Source organism: Homo sapiens, chromosome 20 (genome assembly GCF_000001405.40).
Source record: "Homo sapiens chromosome 20, GRCh38.p14 Primary Assembly".
NCBI lineage: Eukaryota > Metazoa > Chordata > Mammalia > Primates > Hominidae > Homo > Homo sapiens.
In genome coordinates, this window is record NC_000020.11 from 17,007,517 (window position 1) to 17,025,512 (window position 17,996).

The following is a 17,996-nucleotide window of genomic DNA, read 5'->3' on the forward strand; positions in this document are numbered from 1 at the left end:
TCCATTCCCCTACTCTCCATCCCCCATTCCCTAGCCTCTTACGTTCTCCATTCTCCTTTCTGTATCTATGAATTTGACTACACTAGGTACTTCATATAAGCAGAATCCTACAATATTTGTACTTTTGTGACTGGCTTATTTCACATAGCATAGCTGTCTTCTGGTTCATCCATGTTGTAGCACGTATCAGACTTTTCTTCCTTTTCGAAACTAAATAATAGTCCATTGTAGGGTAGAAATTTTGTCCATTCATCCGTTAGTGGACATTTGGTTGTTTCCACCAAAATGAATAAGGGCTGTTGTGAATAATGCTGCTATGAACATGGACGTACAGGCATCTGTTTGAGCCTCTGATTTCAATTTTTTGGAGCATATGCCTAAGAGTGAAGTTGCTGGATGATAAATGGTAATTTTATTTTTAATTTTTTTAGAATCTGCCCTACTGTTTTCCATAGTGGCAACATCATTTTACGACTCCACCAACAGTGCACAAGGATTCCAATTTGTCCACATCCTCACTAATATTTGTAATTTCTGTTTAACAGTAGTCATCCTAATGTGTGTGAGGTGGCATCTCCTTGTGGTTTTGATGCGATTCTCTAATGATTATTGATGTTGATGATTTTTTCATGTGCTTATTCATCATTTATATGACTTCCTGGGAAAAAAGCACCAAATCATGTCCTTTGACCATTTTTTAATTGGGTTGTTGAGTTGTAGGAGTTTTTTAAAAAAACATTCTGGACGGTAATTTCTGTCACGTGCATCCATGTGAAGAGACCACCAAACAGGCTTTGTGTGAACAATAAAGCTTTTTAGTCACCTGGGTACAGACAGTCTGAGTCCAAAAAAGGAGTCAGCAAAGGGAGATGGGGTGGGGCAGTTTTTACAGGATTTGGGTAAGTAGCGGAAAGTTACAGTCAAAGGGGGTTGTTCTCTGGCGGGCAGGGGCGGGGGTCACAAGGTACTCGGTGGCAGGAACCTGCCATTTTCACTTCTTTTGTAGTTCTTCAGTTGCCTCAGGCCATCTGGATGATTACAAGGAGGCTTGGGCTCAGAGGCCTGACAATTTCTTATCAGATATAAAGTTTGCAAATATTTTCTCCCTTTTTATAGGTAACCTTTCCACTCTGTTGATTGTGTCCTTTAATGCACAGAGGTTTATTAATTCTTACGATGTTCAACTTTTTTCTCTTGTTGCCTATGCTCTTGGTGCCATATGAAAAAAAAAAATATATATATATATATAGCCAAATCCAATGTCTGAATCTTTTCTCTCCTTGAAGAGGCGATGGTAACAATACTTGCTTGTATGAGTCTGTTTGGGCTGCCGTAACACCACCACAGGCTAGATGGCTTAAACAACAGGAATGAATTTTCTCACAGTTCTAGGGGCAGGAAGTTCAAGCTCAAGGTGCCGACAGTGTTGGTTTCTTGTGAGGGCTCTCTCTTTGGCTCATAGCGGCTGCCTTCTTGCTGTGTCCTCTCATGACCTTTCCTCTGCACGTGCACATTCCTGGCACCTCTTCCTCTTTAGGAAGACACCAGTCTTTTTGGATTAGGGCCTCACCTTTCTGAGTTTATTTAACCTTAATTACCTCCTTAAAGGCCCTGTCTCCAAATGCAGTCACATTAGGGTTAGGGCTTCCATCTATCAATTTTGAGAGGACACAATTCATTTCACAGCACTGACTCAAAATTCTGTGAGATAATAAAAGTGACTCATTTAGCACAGTGCTGCTATACATTTTATAGTCAATTAATGTTACCAGTGGGTATTTACACCACCACTATTATTGTTTAAGAATACAATCAAGGGTGTGCGAAAACTGAACTGAGAAGTTCAGTATGACTAAAAGTTTATGTCACTTTTAAATGCTTGAAACTCAACTTAATTCTACCTCTTAATAGCTATGTGAACTTATGCAAATTACTTAGTTCTTCTGAAACTTAGCATCTTCCACTGTAACATGGGATAATAGCAGCAGCCTCATTTCAGGCTTTTTTGGGGGATGAGGGTGTGAATTAAATAAAATAATGCATTTAAGGTGCTAAGCACATGCCTGGCAGATAGAAATCACTAAATAAATGGTAGCCACTATAGCACCCAAGATAGAGTGGATTTATAATAAATGAAATATCTGAGGCAACTGATAATTACATGTAGTGAAAATGACAGAGCCAGGATAGTATGAAAACTTCCAGACACACAGTTTATCCATTTGCCAGAGATGAGCCACTAACACAGTTTTAAACCTTCTAGGAACCATCCCAATAAAGGAAACATGAGCAGTTAAAAATTTCACAACATCTACAAGGCAAAAACCAACCAACTATTCGTAAGAGGCACAACTATTTATGATTTTACAAATGGATAGCATTTTATACTGTGAATCCTCAAGAGGCTCTCCATCTCCTTCTGCTGTCTGGGTTCTCACCGTTGCTGGGTTCCTGACCCTCCCCAGGCTATCAAGTTCTGTGAGCTTCTTTCCATTAAGTTGCCTTTTCTGCTCAATTTAGGAAAAGTAGATTTCTCTTGCATGGAACCAAAGATACCTGTTTGATCTAAATACCATTATGGGGCACACATTTTGCCTCAACTCTGTGAGAGCTACTATCCCAGGTAATTGACATATGTTAACTTTTAATCATATAAAGTAATTACTTGAAGTAGGTACCACTGGGGCTCAGAAAAGTTACATGAAGTAAATACTATTTGGGTTTGGAAAACAATGCCCTAAAGTATGGCGGTTTGGAATGCTGAATGCTTTGATCTAAAGGAGAGCCATTCTCTCTCTGACCTTCTCCCACCCCCTGTCTCTCACCCCTCTTTCCCTTTCAAAGTGCAGGGAGGGGCTTTCTCTGAAGTTCCCTTATCTGACTACAGGAAGTTCCTCCAGAGGCATGTAATTTTCATGAGCCTTCCCACTAGAATGTCATCAAACAGAGTAGATAACTCATAGGAAAGGAGACTTCTGAGGACTACTATCTGAGGGACTTTGTCAGTAGAATAAGACAGGCTATGCTCATCATGCATTTCCTCCCTTAACCCACCCATAGCTTGAGTCACCACCTCCTCACCAGAAGCCTCAAGATCCTATTTCTTTCTGTAGCTCAAAAAGCTATTTAAGCTTAACTGCCTTGCCCATCTTTAAGTCTTTTGATATTTGTCAGGCTCCTGTGTATATGCATGTTAAATCTGTGTGCCTTTTTCCTATTAACCTGTCAGCTGTCAAGTCTATACTACAGGCTCAAATTACTAAGACTTCAGAAGGTGGAAAGAAACTTCCCCTCACCCCATAGTTCAGTCAACACCTGCATTTTACAGATGAGGAAATTGAATCACAGAAAGGTTAAAACTTTGTCCAAGCTCACCCAGCTATAAGTGACAGAGCAAGCATACAAATAATACTGTCCATGACCTTGACCACTGCCTTTCCATCCTGGAAATCAAGATCAGTGCCCCCAGGCTCTTTCTGACAACATCCCTCAATGCAGGCTTAAGGCATCATGCCACAGCACACTTAAGAATAAGCAGTCTTTGTGGGGAGCAAAGTGATCTGGATCAGGTGTGTGGCTGTTTATAAATCTACCTTAATCCAGGGATACTTCAAAGTATCTAGAGGAATGAAAGGATTTCATATCCATCATGCATTTCTAATTAAATCCTGTTTTTTTTTTTTGTCGAACATTTGAAGATGTTGAGCCGCTGAGCATTCCAAATTATACACCCCATCAAGTACCAGGGAGCCAGAGGAGAGTGAGTATTAGTGCAGGTCGGCCTAGTTAAAATCACAACTCCATCATTTCCCAGCTCGGATATCTAGAAAGGGTTATTTAAGCTCCCTAATTTTCTCACCTGTAAAATAATATCTATCTTACAGGGCTGTTGTAATAATTAAATAAGAAGAAAATTTTGAGTAAGCATAGCTCCTGACAAACAGCAAGTGCCTAATGCACATGAGCTCCTGTTACTGTTGTCCATGTGTGCTACTGTTACCTGCAGGGCAGCCATCCTGTGGTGTTAGTTAACTACAGGACCATTGATTAAATGACTCAAGAGCTTGGGGGTAGGATTGTTATCGTCTAAAAGACAAGGAAAATGACATGTTTCTGGATGAACGTCTTCTCCATTTCCCCTTAAAATTGATCAGAGGAAGCATTTGTCATCCGATCCGCAAGTTCCCCAGAGAATAATCTTTGGTTGGTTTAACCACATGGAAAACCAGGCAAACTATATCTTCCAAGCATGGTTACAGAAAAATTCTAAAGCTGATCTAACCAGCAGTCACTTTGGCCATATAAAAAGTAAAATAAAGCTCAACAAATTCATAAATAGAAAGTCCAATTTTGGAAAGTCAACTTCTTCCAAAAGTAACTAACTGCAGAGTGCACACTTGAATAGGTGGTTAGTTTCATAGGGATGTTAAATATGCAGAGCTTGAAGGAAGGTAGGTAGAGATGGAGTGGTTTGACAAACCAAAGACTTTGGCTATAAATGATTGCTCTGTAGCCCTTTATCCTTATAATAACCTGTATAGGTGGTAATAATAAAACCTTGCCATCTGGAGATAATAGAATGCTAATCCTTTTATATTTACATTACCACCAAACGGCATGCACTCAGTCTAGCCAAGTATTTATGTAATATTACTAAATTGAATAAGCACCTAGGAGATGTTTCCCCAGTAAATATAGGTGGATCACAAGCATAAAGTAGACATGTGGAGCAATTAGAACCCTCACACGCTGCTGTTGAAAATGTAAAATAGGGCAGCTACTGGAAAACTATTTGGGAGTTATTAAAAAATTTAAACATAGAGTTAAATTTGACCCAGTAATTCTACACCTGGGTATATCCCCAAGAGAAATTAAAACACACATGCATGCAAAAAAACGTTGTGCATGCATGTTTAAAACACCATTATTCATTATTGAAAAAAAAACACCCTGGAAATGACTCAAATATCCATGAACTAATGAATGGATAAACAAAATGGTACGTCTACACAATGAAATATTATTCAATAATAAAAAGGTGTGAAGTATTGACATACGCTACAAAATGAATGAGCCTTGAAAGTATTATGCTGAATGAAAGAAGGCAATCACAAAAGATCACATATTGTATGATTCTAAATATGCGACAATTCCAGAATAGGCAAATCTATGGAGATAGAAGTAAAGTAGTGAATGCCTAGGGCTGAGGAGAGGGTGGAGTAGGGAGTGAATACTAATGGGTAAGAAGTTTATTTTTGAAGTGATAAAAATATTCTAAACTTACATCGTGGTGATGATTGTACGACTCTGTGAATGTACTGAAACCATTGAGCCGTACACTTTGGATTAATTCTGTGGTATGTAAATTATATATCAATAAAGATTTAAAAAGAAAGGATTAACTAGGTAGTTTGGTGGAGACTAGGGAGGGAAACATTACCCTAAAAGTAGCTATTGGGATGAATCACAGATGGAATATCCAGGCCAATAAACTCCAGAGCAGTGCCTCCCATCTGGGAGTGACGCTGCCCACCAGGGGACATTTGGCAGTGTCTGGAGACATTTGTGTTATCACACGAGAGAGGGTTTCTGCTGGCACCTAGTGTGTGGAGGCCAAGGATGCTGCTAAATAATCCTACAATGCACACAGGACAGCTCCCAACAACAAAGGCTTCTCAGCCCAAGATGTCAACAGTGCTGAAGTTGAGAAACCCTGCTTAAGGTGAAAGGAGTTAGGCAAAGCACCTGCTTCATAGGGTTGTTCTTCTCACCTCCACCCCACCAAAGGAGTCTGGGTTAAGTAGAGGTAGGAAGCTGTCACCTAATGTATCATTTATACTAAGAATTTCACAGTCTAACTGTCTACAGTCTGATTTTTAGAGTTGCTTACCACCCGGGGTCTGCCTTGTTAGAAATTGACCACCATTTGATCAGTTTCCAAGAGCTGGTAGTTTAGAAATAAATAGAAAATAGTTTATTATTCATCTGCTCCAACCAGCGTGTTCTGTGTTTAGTGCATCTTTCATACATTCTCAGTAACAAAGAAAAGTTATTGGTCATTTATTGCTAAAGACTGGAAAATAAATCTGTAATAGTTTACAAATAATCAGAATCCACTGTCTCTGTGTTATTTCTGAATCCAACTTCACAGGATCATAAGAAATTGGCAAAGTGGAGGAAGGGATTTTTAGCCATTAGGTAGACCAGAAATATTTATTTGATAGAAAATCTATACTGAAGCCAATAAAAACACATGGCAGCTGGAAGACATCTCATAGTACTTCTAGAGATACTTTATAATTAGCCACACTTAGAGACAAGCCAAGCAGCCAGTCAATCAAGCAAATTAGTGGCAAGGAATTTGGGAAAAGGATATGTTATAAAACTGGGCACATAACAAGCACATGCAGAGAATTCTCCCAGAACTTGAGAACATTAAATTGAACTCAGTTTGCCTGTCAAATATAAATAAATTGCCAGGGGGTCAGGAGGTTTGGTTCACTTATCTCCTAGAAACTTTAGGATCTCATTTTCTTTATGGTTAAAATAAAAGGGTTGAAGTAAATGAGCAGCTCTCAAAATTAGTGGAGCTTATTAAATATGTCCAGATTTTCAAATGGAATTCCTAGGAAGTCTGAATCCACTGGTCTGGAATCAGGCATAGGCACCCATGCTTCAAGTTATGAATGATTTTCATGTACATCCTGGTTGAGGAATAACAGGACATAGTCATCATATTGATCCTGGATGCTTTACCTACCCAGAGGTCCAGGGCTTAGCATAGTGAGGCAGGAATAGTCCCCTGCAGGTAAATCATAAAGGAAAATTAAAGAAATCTGCCAGGGAAGATGAGGGCCTGGCATAGAGGGTGCTAAGGGGAGGGAGGATTCCCGAGTGCTGGATGCTGTTGCTATGGCAACCCCATCTTTTCCCAGCATGTGTTCTGAAAGGCTGCCTGTGCTGTGCGGGGCGGTGGGTGGGGGAGGCTCCAGGTCTGACGGGATGCACATTGTTCATGTCATAAATTTGGAGATGAGGACTTGTGAATAGAGCAGGATAATCAAATAAAAGCACGTCTTAATATTAAGAACCAACAGCATTTCTTAGTAATCTTAAATGTTTGGATGTTTGGTTCATGTTCGTTGCAGGTAACCCAAATAGAAACCTGTTTTCTACTTTGATTTGTTTTCTAGAGATTTTTCTGAGTTTGAAACTTTAATGCTTCTCTCCACCCCAAGCCCCCACCTCACGGAGGTTCATTGTATCCTTATTTAGAAGAACAACAAAAATGACCCAAAAAGTTTAAACTAATTGGAGTGAAGCAGCATGCCTGCCCTCATAGTGAGCCTCAGGAGGACAGACTCCTCTTCCACTCTGAGTCAGTCCTTCTGCATCATTTGCTTTCCCCTCATGCTCCTTGTAAGATGGCAATGACAGGAAGGGAGGAAATTAGCTGTGGAATGGAATACTAAGTGTGGGGAATGAAGGTCCCTGGGAGATCCTGACCTACTCAGAGTTGTTTCCTCACTGATGGATCAGCAGTACAAGGTGATGGGCAGGAGGATGTCTGAAATGCACATTGCAGTCACAGCTTCTCTACTGACCCATGAAGTCTAGTGTTTATTACAGCCTGCATTATACTGAATGCTGAACTCAGCATTTTACATGAATTACTTGTTTAGTCCTCAGAAAAACCCTCTGGTTTATGTTCTATTTTTTATCCCATTTTACAGAAGGAATGTTGAGATTTAGAGGGTTGAAATTTAGAGGGTTTCCATGACTTGTTCGAGATCTCGCTGCTAAGTGTGTGATATAACAGGCCCAGACACGTGTCTGTCAAAGCCTCTGTTCTTGACTACCACTGTCTTCTAATGAGCCACACAGTTTTTCTTGTGTCTACATGAAAGGGTTGGCTTAGACAATGGCATCTTGGAGTAGGTGTCACTTGAAATAAGTTTGGGGAGTACACAGGGAAATAAATTAAATATTTTTTACAGGACTTCTCAAAGCCTATATATTATGCTGATATGTACTGATAAAACATTCATCCATTTCTCACATTTATTTGATCTTGGAATAGTTTGCTCTCATCTTACAGGACTATTGTTGAACACAACTCACTTTAGGAAATACAGAATTTGGTGATTTTTAAGAGTCCGATTAGTATTAAAGTAAAGGCTCTTCTTTCTCTGCTCATTCTGGCTGTGTTCTTAATCTGTCAAGCTTTCTCTATCCTTATCCCCTCACCTTTTTTTTATGACAACTTTATGAGGTACTTTTTGGTAATAGCCATTCTTACATGTGTGAAGTGACATCTCATTATGGTTTTGATTTGTATTCCCTGATGGTTAGTGGTGTTGAGCATTTTTCCATATGCCTACTGGACATTTCTATGTCTCTCCCACCCCAATGTCCCAAAATAGACATTTTGAGGAATGTCTATTTAGGAACTTTGCCAATTTAAAAATTTTTTGTGCTGTTCTATTGTTATAGTCCCTGACATATTGTGGATATTAAACCTTTATCAGATGTATGTATGGTTTGCCAATATTTTCTCTTACTCTGTAGGTTGTCTCTTCACTCTGTTGATTGTTTCTTTTGCTGTGCAGAAGCTTTTTAGTTTGATGCAATCTAATTTGTATATTTTTGCTTTTTTTCCTGGGCTTTGGGGTCACGTCCAAAATCATCATTGCTGAGACCAATGCTAAGAAAGTTTTTCATGTTTTTTCTTCTAGTAGTTTTATAGTAGTTTCAGGTCTTACATTTAAATCTTTTTAAGTTGATTTTTTATATGGGGTGACATGAAGTTTAAATTCCATTCTTCCGCATGTGGATGTCCTAGTTTGCCCAACACCATTTATTAAAACTCTTTCCCTCATTGTATATTCTTGGCACCTTTACCAATGATCAATTGACTGTAAAGGCATGGCCTTATTTTGGGCCTTCTATTCTATTCTATTGGCCTATATGTCTGCTTTGTTCCAGTACCATGCTGCTTTGATTAGTATAGCTTTGTAGTGCATTTTGAAGTCAAATAGTGTGAGGCCTCCAGCTTTGTTCTTATTCCTACAGATTGCTTCAGCTATTATGGATTGTTTCTGGTTCCAAACAAATTTTAGGATTTTTTTTATTTAATTTCTATGAAAAATGTTATTTGAATTTTCTTAGGGATTGCATTGATTCCATAGATCACTTTGTACTATGGACATTTCAATAATATTGATTTTTCTGATCCATGAACAAGGCATGTATTTCCATTTATTTGTGTCTCCAACTTATTTCATTTTTTTTTTTTACAGTTTCAGTACACAGGTCTGTATATTGGCTAAAGTTATTTCTAAGTTTTTTTTGGATGCAACTATAAATGGAATTGATTTTTTAAATTTCTTTTTTCAAGTAATTCATTGTTTATAGAAAGTCCATTTCACATACACACACATGTGCACACACACATACATACACATACATTGTGTATTGAAACTTTGTTGTATATAGACAGCTCATTCGTGTATAGAAAGGCAACTTATTTTTGTATGTTGATTTTGTATCCTGCAACTTTACTGAATTCATTCATTAGTTCTACTGATTTTTGGTGGACTCTTAGGGGGTTTCTATGTATAAGATCATGTCATCTTCAAACAAAGACAATTTTGTTTCTCCCTTTCTGAATTAAATGCCTTTTATTTCTTTTTCTAGCCTGAATACTCTAGCTAGAACTTCCAGTGCTATGTTGAATAGAAGTGGTGGGCCTGGAGCTCAGGACCATGGGGGCCAGCCTCACATTCACTGGGGACAGGCCTGTGCTGGGGTCCATGGTGAAGTCAGGTGCTCACTCTACCCCCATGAAGAAGGCATCTCCTTGTGCTCTGCTGCATGAGCTTGAGACAGAGGTGATGTGGGTAACATGAAACCATCCTTCCTACCCTCTTCAAAGCATCCTTCCTCATTTGTGCTCCGCCAAGGTGTTTTAATCTCTCACCTGAATTCCTTAGCTCTCCCGAAGGTATTTTAACTGTGAATGGTTGTTTAAATGGATGTTTTTGTGAGGGAATAAGCTCTGGAAACTCCTATTTCACAATGTTGGTAACATCACTTCTGTCCCTCCAGTTTTAAAGTCAGTATTCTGACTTCTGATCAAATTGAGATTTATTCCTGGGGAGGGTCAAATGTCACATGGTTTCTCAGTTGTTTTACCAGCCAATAAGAAGCTTTTTGTATTGAATTAATTTCCAGGCCTTTTTTTTTCATTTCCCTTTCAATTTCACTAACACAAAATAATGTACAACCCAGACCGCACCAGACATGTAAGTGAATTTGGCATGAGAGCTGTCATTTTGCCTGTCACTGTGACAGGTAGTTCATCAATACTCTGACCTGCAGAGGGTAAATCTAAAGCTTCCAATTTGAGGGAATTAGGGAATGTTCATCATCATTAGCAATAGTAAAGAAATTGGAGATAATTCACTGAATTCTTAAAAAAGATGCTTAGCATTTCACAGATATTTATGTAAAGATAATTAATTGTGCACTCTCCTTTTCTTTGTAGAGAAACAAGAATTTGAGAATCTGTGTCATTCTGATGAGCTGTGTGGCCTGGAGAATGTTCCTCAATTAATTCAAGAATTATCTGTGGGCTTCTATTTTGGAATTAGCACTTTGCTAGATCCTGGGGAGATGGAAACAATAAAGTAGTCCCAGCTACCAAGGAGTTCAGGTCTAATGTCTTCACATTATTAATTTTCATCTCACCATTTACAGTTTCTAGTTTTCTAGAGAGAAATGAATACAGAGGAGGTTTTACTTACCAAGTTTTCTTTTATGACAGAGCCAAATGTTTAGAGATCATTTAAACTAATACTATTAAATATCTCCTCCAGTAAGTCTGATAAAACTGATCCCTTTGAAAATAGTTTTGTCAAAAATGTCTTATTTTGATGTTGTATAGTAATATCAATATCTTCAACAGCCTTTGGCATGAATTAGCTTATGTCAATCCCCAGATAACCTGGTCCTAGGTAGCGCAGGTGTTACAATTACAAACCAGTGGGTATCTTAGAAAAATCTCCGAAGAGATAGAGGGAACTTTTCTAATGCTGGTTGAAGGATTGCACCTTACAGCTCTACAGCACCGGGAGGTAGCTGTGATCATCTCCACATGACAAAGATAAATGGTGTGTTTTGCCTAGGATCACATAGCAGGTTAGTGCTAGAGTAAAGCAAGAATTTATCACTGGAAATGAAGCAAAATATTAATATAAATTTGCTGCTCTGGGGTAGGATGGAATCAAACACCGTAAAAATAGAGGGCATGAATCAACATTAGAGGAGCCAACCCCACACCCAGAAAGGAGTGAATCTGCGTGGGCTGACCCCCTGGTTATTCCCCCACCACATTCCACCAGGCCTTCAGAGAGTGCCTCAGAGAGTGCCTGTCTGGCTTTCAAGGTGCCAGAAACCATGCTTGTTCCCCTTTTAGATTTTGACTTTTAGGCAGCATGTGGCTAGACAGAGCACTCATGCAGAACCAAGGGAAACTAAAAGGGGTCGACTGTGCCATGAATTATATGCGGCATTAAGGGAGGTTCATCTCCAGTATTTTAGTTCCAGATATCTCTACTTAACCATTTTCATTGTATTATTCTTTACTTTATTAATTCACTCACTTCACTCCCTTATTTATTTACTTTTTCATTCATTCATTCATTTACTCATTTATCCACTGTCTCCTTATTTTTGAATTCCCATATATACATAGCAAGAATAACTTCAGTATTAGTATAATGAATCAAGTTGCCTAATATTGCTCCATTTGTCAACTAACTAAAATTTTTCCACCGTGGGTCTTTTGGCTGTTACACAATATTTTTGAAAGGTTGAGGATATTTATTTTGAATGTGAACTCTAAAATTTAAATATATATGTTTTATCTGAGGTTTTCTCAGATTTAAACTATATCTTTTTCCCACACTGTCTGTTTCACTTGAACATTTAGATATCTTGAAATTGGCTTCCATTGGTTTTATTATTAGTTCTGCTTCCACACTTAAAAAATATCCTGAGCTGCTGGCTCTAATATGGTTGCGCCCCAAATATATTCTAGTTATTTGGAAGAATGTTGGTCAAAACTCAGACATCAAGGCAGTAGGTGACTTCAAAAGAAGCCAGCCAGTGAGCCGTTAGAGCACCTTTTCCCATTAAAAGCATATTGTTTGTTCCTAATCAAATTACCGTAGGCTTGTCAGGTTGTTTCTTTCACACAACTGTTTCTAGTATTTTCTTATGAATGATGTTAAGCTGGCTAGCATGTAATTAGTTACTCCAGCTTATATTCTGGTTTAAAGTAATGATATTTCTTTTATATATATATATATATTTTATTATACTTTAAATTCTAGGGTACATGTGCACAACGTGCAGGTTTGTTACATATGTATACATGTGCCATGTTGGTGTGCTGCACCCATTGGCACATATACACCATGGAATACTATGCAGCCATAAAAAAGGATGAGTTCATGTCCTTTGTAGGGACATGGATGAAGCTGGAAACCATCATTCTCAGCAAACTATCACAAGGACGAAAAACCAAACACTGCATGTTCTCACTCATAGGTAGGAATTGAACAATGAGAACACTTGGACACAGGAAGGAGAACATCACACACCGGGGCCTGTTGTGGGGTTGGGGGAGGGGGGAGGGATAGCATTAGGAGATATACCTAATGTAGAGTAATGATATTTCAAAAATTTTAGAGCCAGATAGTGTCTGTTATGAGACACATGGTTATTTAGCATTCGGGCTGCAAGACTGTGTTTTCTTCATCATCCTTGGTTCTCTAGAACCCAGCAAGTGCTGTGAATATAGTGCACACACACTTATGATGGAAAAATTATATTATTTTCATCATATTTTAGTTCTGTGATGTCATTTTCTTTGTCCCCTGGCTCTCACCATAATGGAGGTGAACTCCAAGATTTGCTTCAGGTGTGTTAGACTGGCTTTGCCTCTCAAAATGTCTTCTACACCTTCCCGCTGGCCCCATTTCCAATCCTGGGACCCCAGTAGCCATCTTATAGTTTCCTTCTAGGAGGGAAGGATATGGATGAACAGCTACAAGGTTATGTATGGTATCTCATTTTATCTTCCCAGCTGGTGCTTAGAAATAAGTCCCCTTATTGCCTTTTTACAGATGAGGAAACCACAGAGCTGAAGGAGCTGGCCTGATTTGACTCCAATAGGCAGTGGGAGACCCAGGGTCTCAGTACAGTTGTCTGACTCTGAAACTTATGCTCTTTATTTTACATAATTCTGCCTCATTTTCCAAGGATAACTTCTTCAATTTTAGAGATCAGAAGCTAGCTTTCTCTGTTCCTTTACTTCCAAACCTCTAACACTGCCACTGCTAATAAATTTCTTTCTCCAATCTCTTTATCTAGATCTACCAGACTTGTTCCTTGAGCCCCCATACCCATGTAAGTTGCTGGCTGAATATCCCACCTCTACCCAACCTCTTCTGCCTGTTGCCTCCTCCCATCTACCTTCCATTCTGTCCAACAGTCCATTGCTTTTCCTACCAGAGGTGAAGGCTACTCTCTCCATCTAGTCATGCTGAAGGCAAAAGTTGCCTCAAAGAACTTCCAAAACTGGATAAAGAGACAAGGATGCTATATACAGAAAGTTAAAATATGATTCAAGATCTCAACTGTCATTGAAGATTATCATGTGAGAATGACCACGTGAATAGGTATGATAACTATCTTTTGAATGGACCATTTGTGCTATGGAAGGTGGTCAGGGAAGAACACCTGGAGGAAAAAAATTTAGCTGGACTGTGGAGGAATACAGGACCAAAATAGGCAGAGGACAGTGTCAGGGGCATGCCAGTCAGGGACAATGGCAGGAGGAAATGTGCCAAGGCCCAGGTGAACACAGCGAGTTCAAAGAATGAGTGGGGAGCTTGAGTCAAAAGAGCTTCAGGATCTTACTATGGGAAATGATGCTTTCTTTTGAAGAACAGACTTAAAGACCATTGAGGTTTCAAGGATAATGTTCTGTTTTATTATTTTCATTATTCAGTTCAATCTTTTTTTGCAGATTGTTTAGAACATTGCTTTAGCATCTCAGAGGACAGATAAATTTAGAAACTATGATTTAAATGCTGACTTAGGTATTTATCTGGTTCTGTAGAAATGTACCTTGCATTTCTGTAACAATTATTATTTTTCCTTCAATTATCTGTAGTTTCAGCTTTGCCTCTGCTGATTCTTTTTTAGCAATGACTGAGTTGTATATATTAAAATGAAATTCTTCTCTGTCCTTTTGTAATAAATTCAGCTGCAGCCTGAGTATTCTAACTGAATAGCCTGACTGTAGCTGTGACCTGACTTCATTTTTGAGGCTGTCAAAAGTAATTAGGGACAGACAGATTTTCCCACTCAGCATCTGGAAATGCAAAGATATGGAGAAGGAGTTTCAAGTATCATTAACATCTCCTTTCTGCCTGCTTTTTATATCTCCATGTGAAATAGTCTATTTCACAGTTGGCAAGATCTATTATGGGAGCTGTCCTTCCCCCTATGGAGCATCAGATTTTCCCTCGATTGGGAAGAAGGAAATGGGTGCACATCTTTAGAAAATAGGATGGGTTTTTTTGTCACATTGGCCTGCCACTGAAAGCTGTGTGACACTGGGCAATTTGCTCATTCTTGCCTGTGTTAGTTTCCTCATCAGGGATTAGTTACTTCTATAGATTTTGTGAGGATCCCATGAAGTAACACATGTAAAACAACTTGCAAAGTAATAGTTTCCTTTAATAAATTGGACAGAAATTGTATTTCAGAAAGACTTCTTTGCCCCCAGGAACAATATGATTAGGAGTAGCAATATTTTTGGATGAGAAGAGGTGAGACACAGAATGTCAGAAAAGTGAAAAGGTATATGGGTCACTGTTGGAAACTATCTTTCATTCAATAATAAAGTCAAAGTATATTTAAATTTTTTATTTTTTAATGATTTAAATCTTACAGAAAAGTTGAAATTTGCAGTGCACCTCAAAACTCAATCAGGTAAGGGTAAAAGATGAAAAAGGAGGCTGAGGACAAAGATTATCTTTTGTGAATTCACAAATTTGCCAAGGGCTGTTCCTTCTCACCATCCTCTTCTTCAATTACTTTGCAGACATTTATTGGATAAATAGCCATACATTTGCAGGACAGTTTTGGCTAGTGGAATCCAGCAATGCACGCTCAGCTAAGCTTTGCCTCTGGGGTGCAAGATAATCCAGCTTCTCAGGATTTAAGATGGACTCTTTTAATCACAAATCCCTTTTTGTTGAAAAGGACTTAATAACAAAGCTATTCCTCCCTGTAAAACCCAACTAACTGGGCTAACCTCAGGCTAACACTATTAACTGTATTTTCTTTAGGGGCATTCCATTTTTAGAAGAAGGGACCAAATGACAAGAAGAAAGTTTAAGTTATTCTAAATGGCATTTGATTACAAGGATTCTTCATCTGAGAGTCATGATGTCTCATGGACTCATGTAATCAAACACAAAAAATTTTTGGTTACTGATATAACCCTATACAAGATAAATCAGTGTAAATTGAGCCATGAAGTACATAAAGGAGTATTTAGTTTTGGCAGGAAGCAGCATCGGATAAGACACACCTCAGCCAATGGAAAAAGTGGTTGCCATGGTGACACTGGCCAAGATTGGCAGATGTCAATCATCAGGGTAAGCTGATGGTTACCAGGGCTGCAAAGAGAGCTCACAGTGAGGAAATCCCAAGGTCTTAGGAGGATTCTGGGAGGTTGACATCTAGACAGAGTAACTGATTCATATGCCCTTATATTCTCCCTGTCTCAAAATTACCTTTATTTTATTCTGCATCTAAAAACCCTTGAAAGTTAAAGGTACATTTCCAGTTTGGCTGGACCCACCATCATGTGTCCGGACTGATCTTTTTTTCCTTTACCTAGAAAGATCTGCAAACGTTGTCCAAGAGAGACAGTCCTGTCTTCTGGGAGGATTTGAAGCCAGTTAGGGGCTCTGTATTTCTGAATTGGATTAAATGCCACCTTCCAAAATAAAGTAGGATAATCAGGTGTGCTATCACCTTCCATCCCCAAGTCTTCCTCGGTTTGCCTAGAAAATTAGAAACAGCTGAGGCTGTGGTGGTGAAAACTGAAAAATAAGCCCATTTATAGAAGACAATGTAGGATCAGCACACACACACACACACACACACACACACACACACACACACACACGGCTCTGTGATTCAGTCTTTAAATTTAAATTCTCTAAATTTGCATGTAGAAATACAAATTCTCAGGCCTCACCGCAGATTTCCAAAATCAGAAAGTCCAGAGTGAAGCTCTGCAATTTGTGTTTCAATGAGAACTCTAGGGCAGGAGCCTCCAACCCCTGGGGTGCGGACTGGTACTTGTCCGCGGTCTGCTAGAAACCGGGCCGCACAGGAGGCGAGTGTCAGCTGAGCAAGCATTGCAGCCTGAGCTCCACCCCCTGTCAAATCAGCAGTGGCATTAGATTCTCAAAGGAGCAGGAACCTTATTATGAACTGTGCATGCGAGAGATCTAGATTGTGCACTTCTTATGAGAATCTAACTAACTAATGCTTGATGATCTGAGGTGGAACAGTTTTACCCCAAAATCATTCCCCTCACCCCCGACCCCATTCCTGAAAAAAATTGTCTTCTACAAAACCCGTCCCTAGTGCCAAAAAAGTTGGGGACCACTGCTCTGGGACATTCTGATGTGTGTGGGGGTTGGAGAATTACCGTGTTAAAAAAAACTGTAAGTGCTATGAGCCAGTCCCCAGAAGGGTTCTCTTCTTTAGTTTTAGTTATCCAGGAAATTAAAGTAACGTTGGCATTATAGTTAATTGTTGTGCCTTGGGGAATGAAGGCTTGGATGTTTATTTTCATGTAGAAATGAGGCTCATATTCTCTTTCAGGTGACTTCAAGAGGAAAAAATGTTATAACCTGAAAAGTTTACATTAATCCTTTTTAACTCCCATACTCTGAGATTCCAACTTCTGTGTAGAGTAGAACTGTGGGCTCCTGTCCACTGCATGCCCTTTCTGTGAGTCAGAGGACATGCTCTCCTTGACTCCTCCCATGGAGGGGCTCTTCCATTAGCATACCACAACAGAGAAAAGAATCTGCACAATCATGCAGTCTCTCCAGGGTTCAAAGAAAGCGGCATTGTGCTGAAGTATGGAGGTGAAATTCTCATTCTCTTAGTAACTGCTACTAGAATGTTTCTTATTTGGGAAATTAACCTTTGATCTGGTAGCTGAGATCGTGAGGATAAAAACGTGCTATCTGAAGGAGGTGGAACTATAAAATAGAACCAAAGGACTTTGCATGATTCCAGAGGCGGAAACCCTGCTGTGCCCGAGGGAGGAGAGGAGACCAGAGAAAGCAGAAGAAGGTGGGAGGGGTGATGCTGAAAGTGATGCACAGGGTGATGCCAAAGCTCATCTTCAGGAAAGAGGCAGTGGTGAATCCTCTGTGGTTGGGTGGGTGAAGGAAATTTCTAGATGCCTAAAATTAAATTAAAGAACATTTGTGTTACTGCACTAGAAATACTCCTTCTCTCCCCCACTCTACTTGTAAACATTTTCTGTGTGCAGGATATTTTGTGTGTGGAAGACAAAGTGAAGAGGTCGGTTGGATTCTGAGGCAGGAAAGCAGCAGCCAGGAGACAGAGGTTGCCACGAACGTAAACATGCCGTGAATATGTCCAGAAATCCTGGGCAGGACTTTAAACTTCCACAGAGTGTGGAAGTGGGATTTGGACTGTGATTTATTCAGGTTTCTAAGGCAAAGATACCTCAGTGGATGACAAATTTGCATTTATTTGTGATGGTATTTGTTCATAGTCATCATTCCAGGCAACAATTTTACACTGACAAGTGCAGAGAGAATTTGCTGTATTGCCCTTGACAAATGAAAGGAACAACAGTC

General features: G+C 39.3%; 2 annotated features.

Annotated features, from left to right (window-relative positions):
• Positions 16,719-17,918: an enhancer, noted in NCBI's record as "BRD4-independent group 4 enhancer chr20:17004880-17006079 (GRCh37/hg19 assembly coordinates)". NCBI's record gives its function as "activates an origin of replication core promoter dependent on BRD2, P300/CBP, MED14 and CDK7 cofactors, and independent of BRD4, by STARR-seq in HCT116 cells {active_cell/tissue: HCT116}" and the evidence as "EXISTENCE:reporter gene assay evidence [ECO:0000049][PMID:35650434]".
• Positions 17,100-17,687: an enhancer, noted in NCBI's record as "OCT4-NANOG-H3K27ac hESC enhancer chr20:17005261-17005848 (GRCh37/hg19 assembly coordinates)". NCBI's record gives its function as "activates a minimal SCP1, AML or CMV promoter by ChIP-STARR-seq in naive H9 embryonic stem cells {active_cell/tissue: H9 hESC(naive)}" and the evidence as "EXISTENCE:reporter gene assay evidence [ECO:0000049][PMID:30033119]".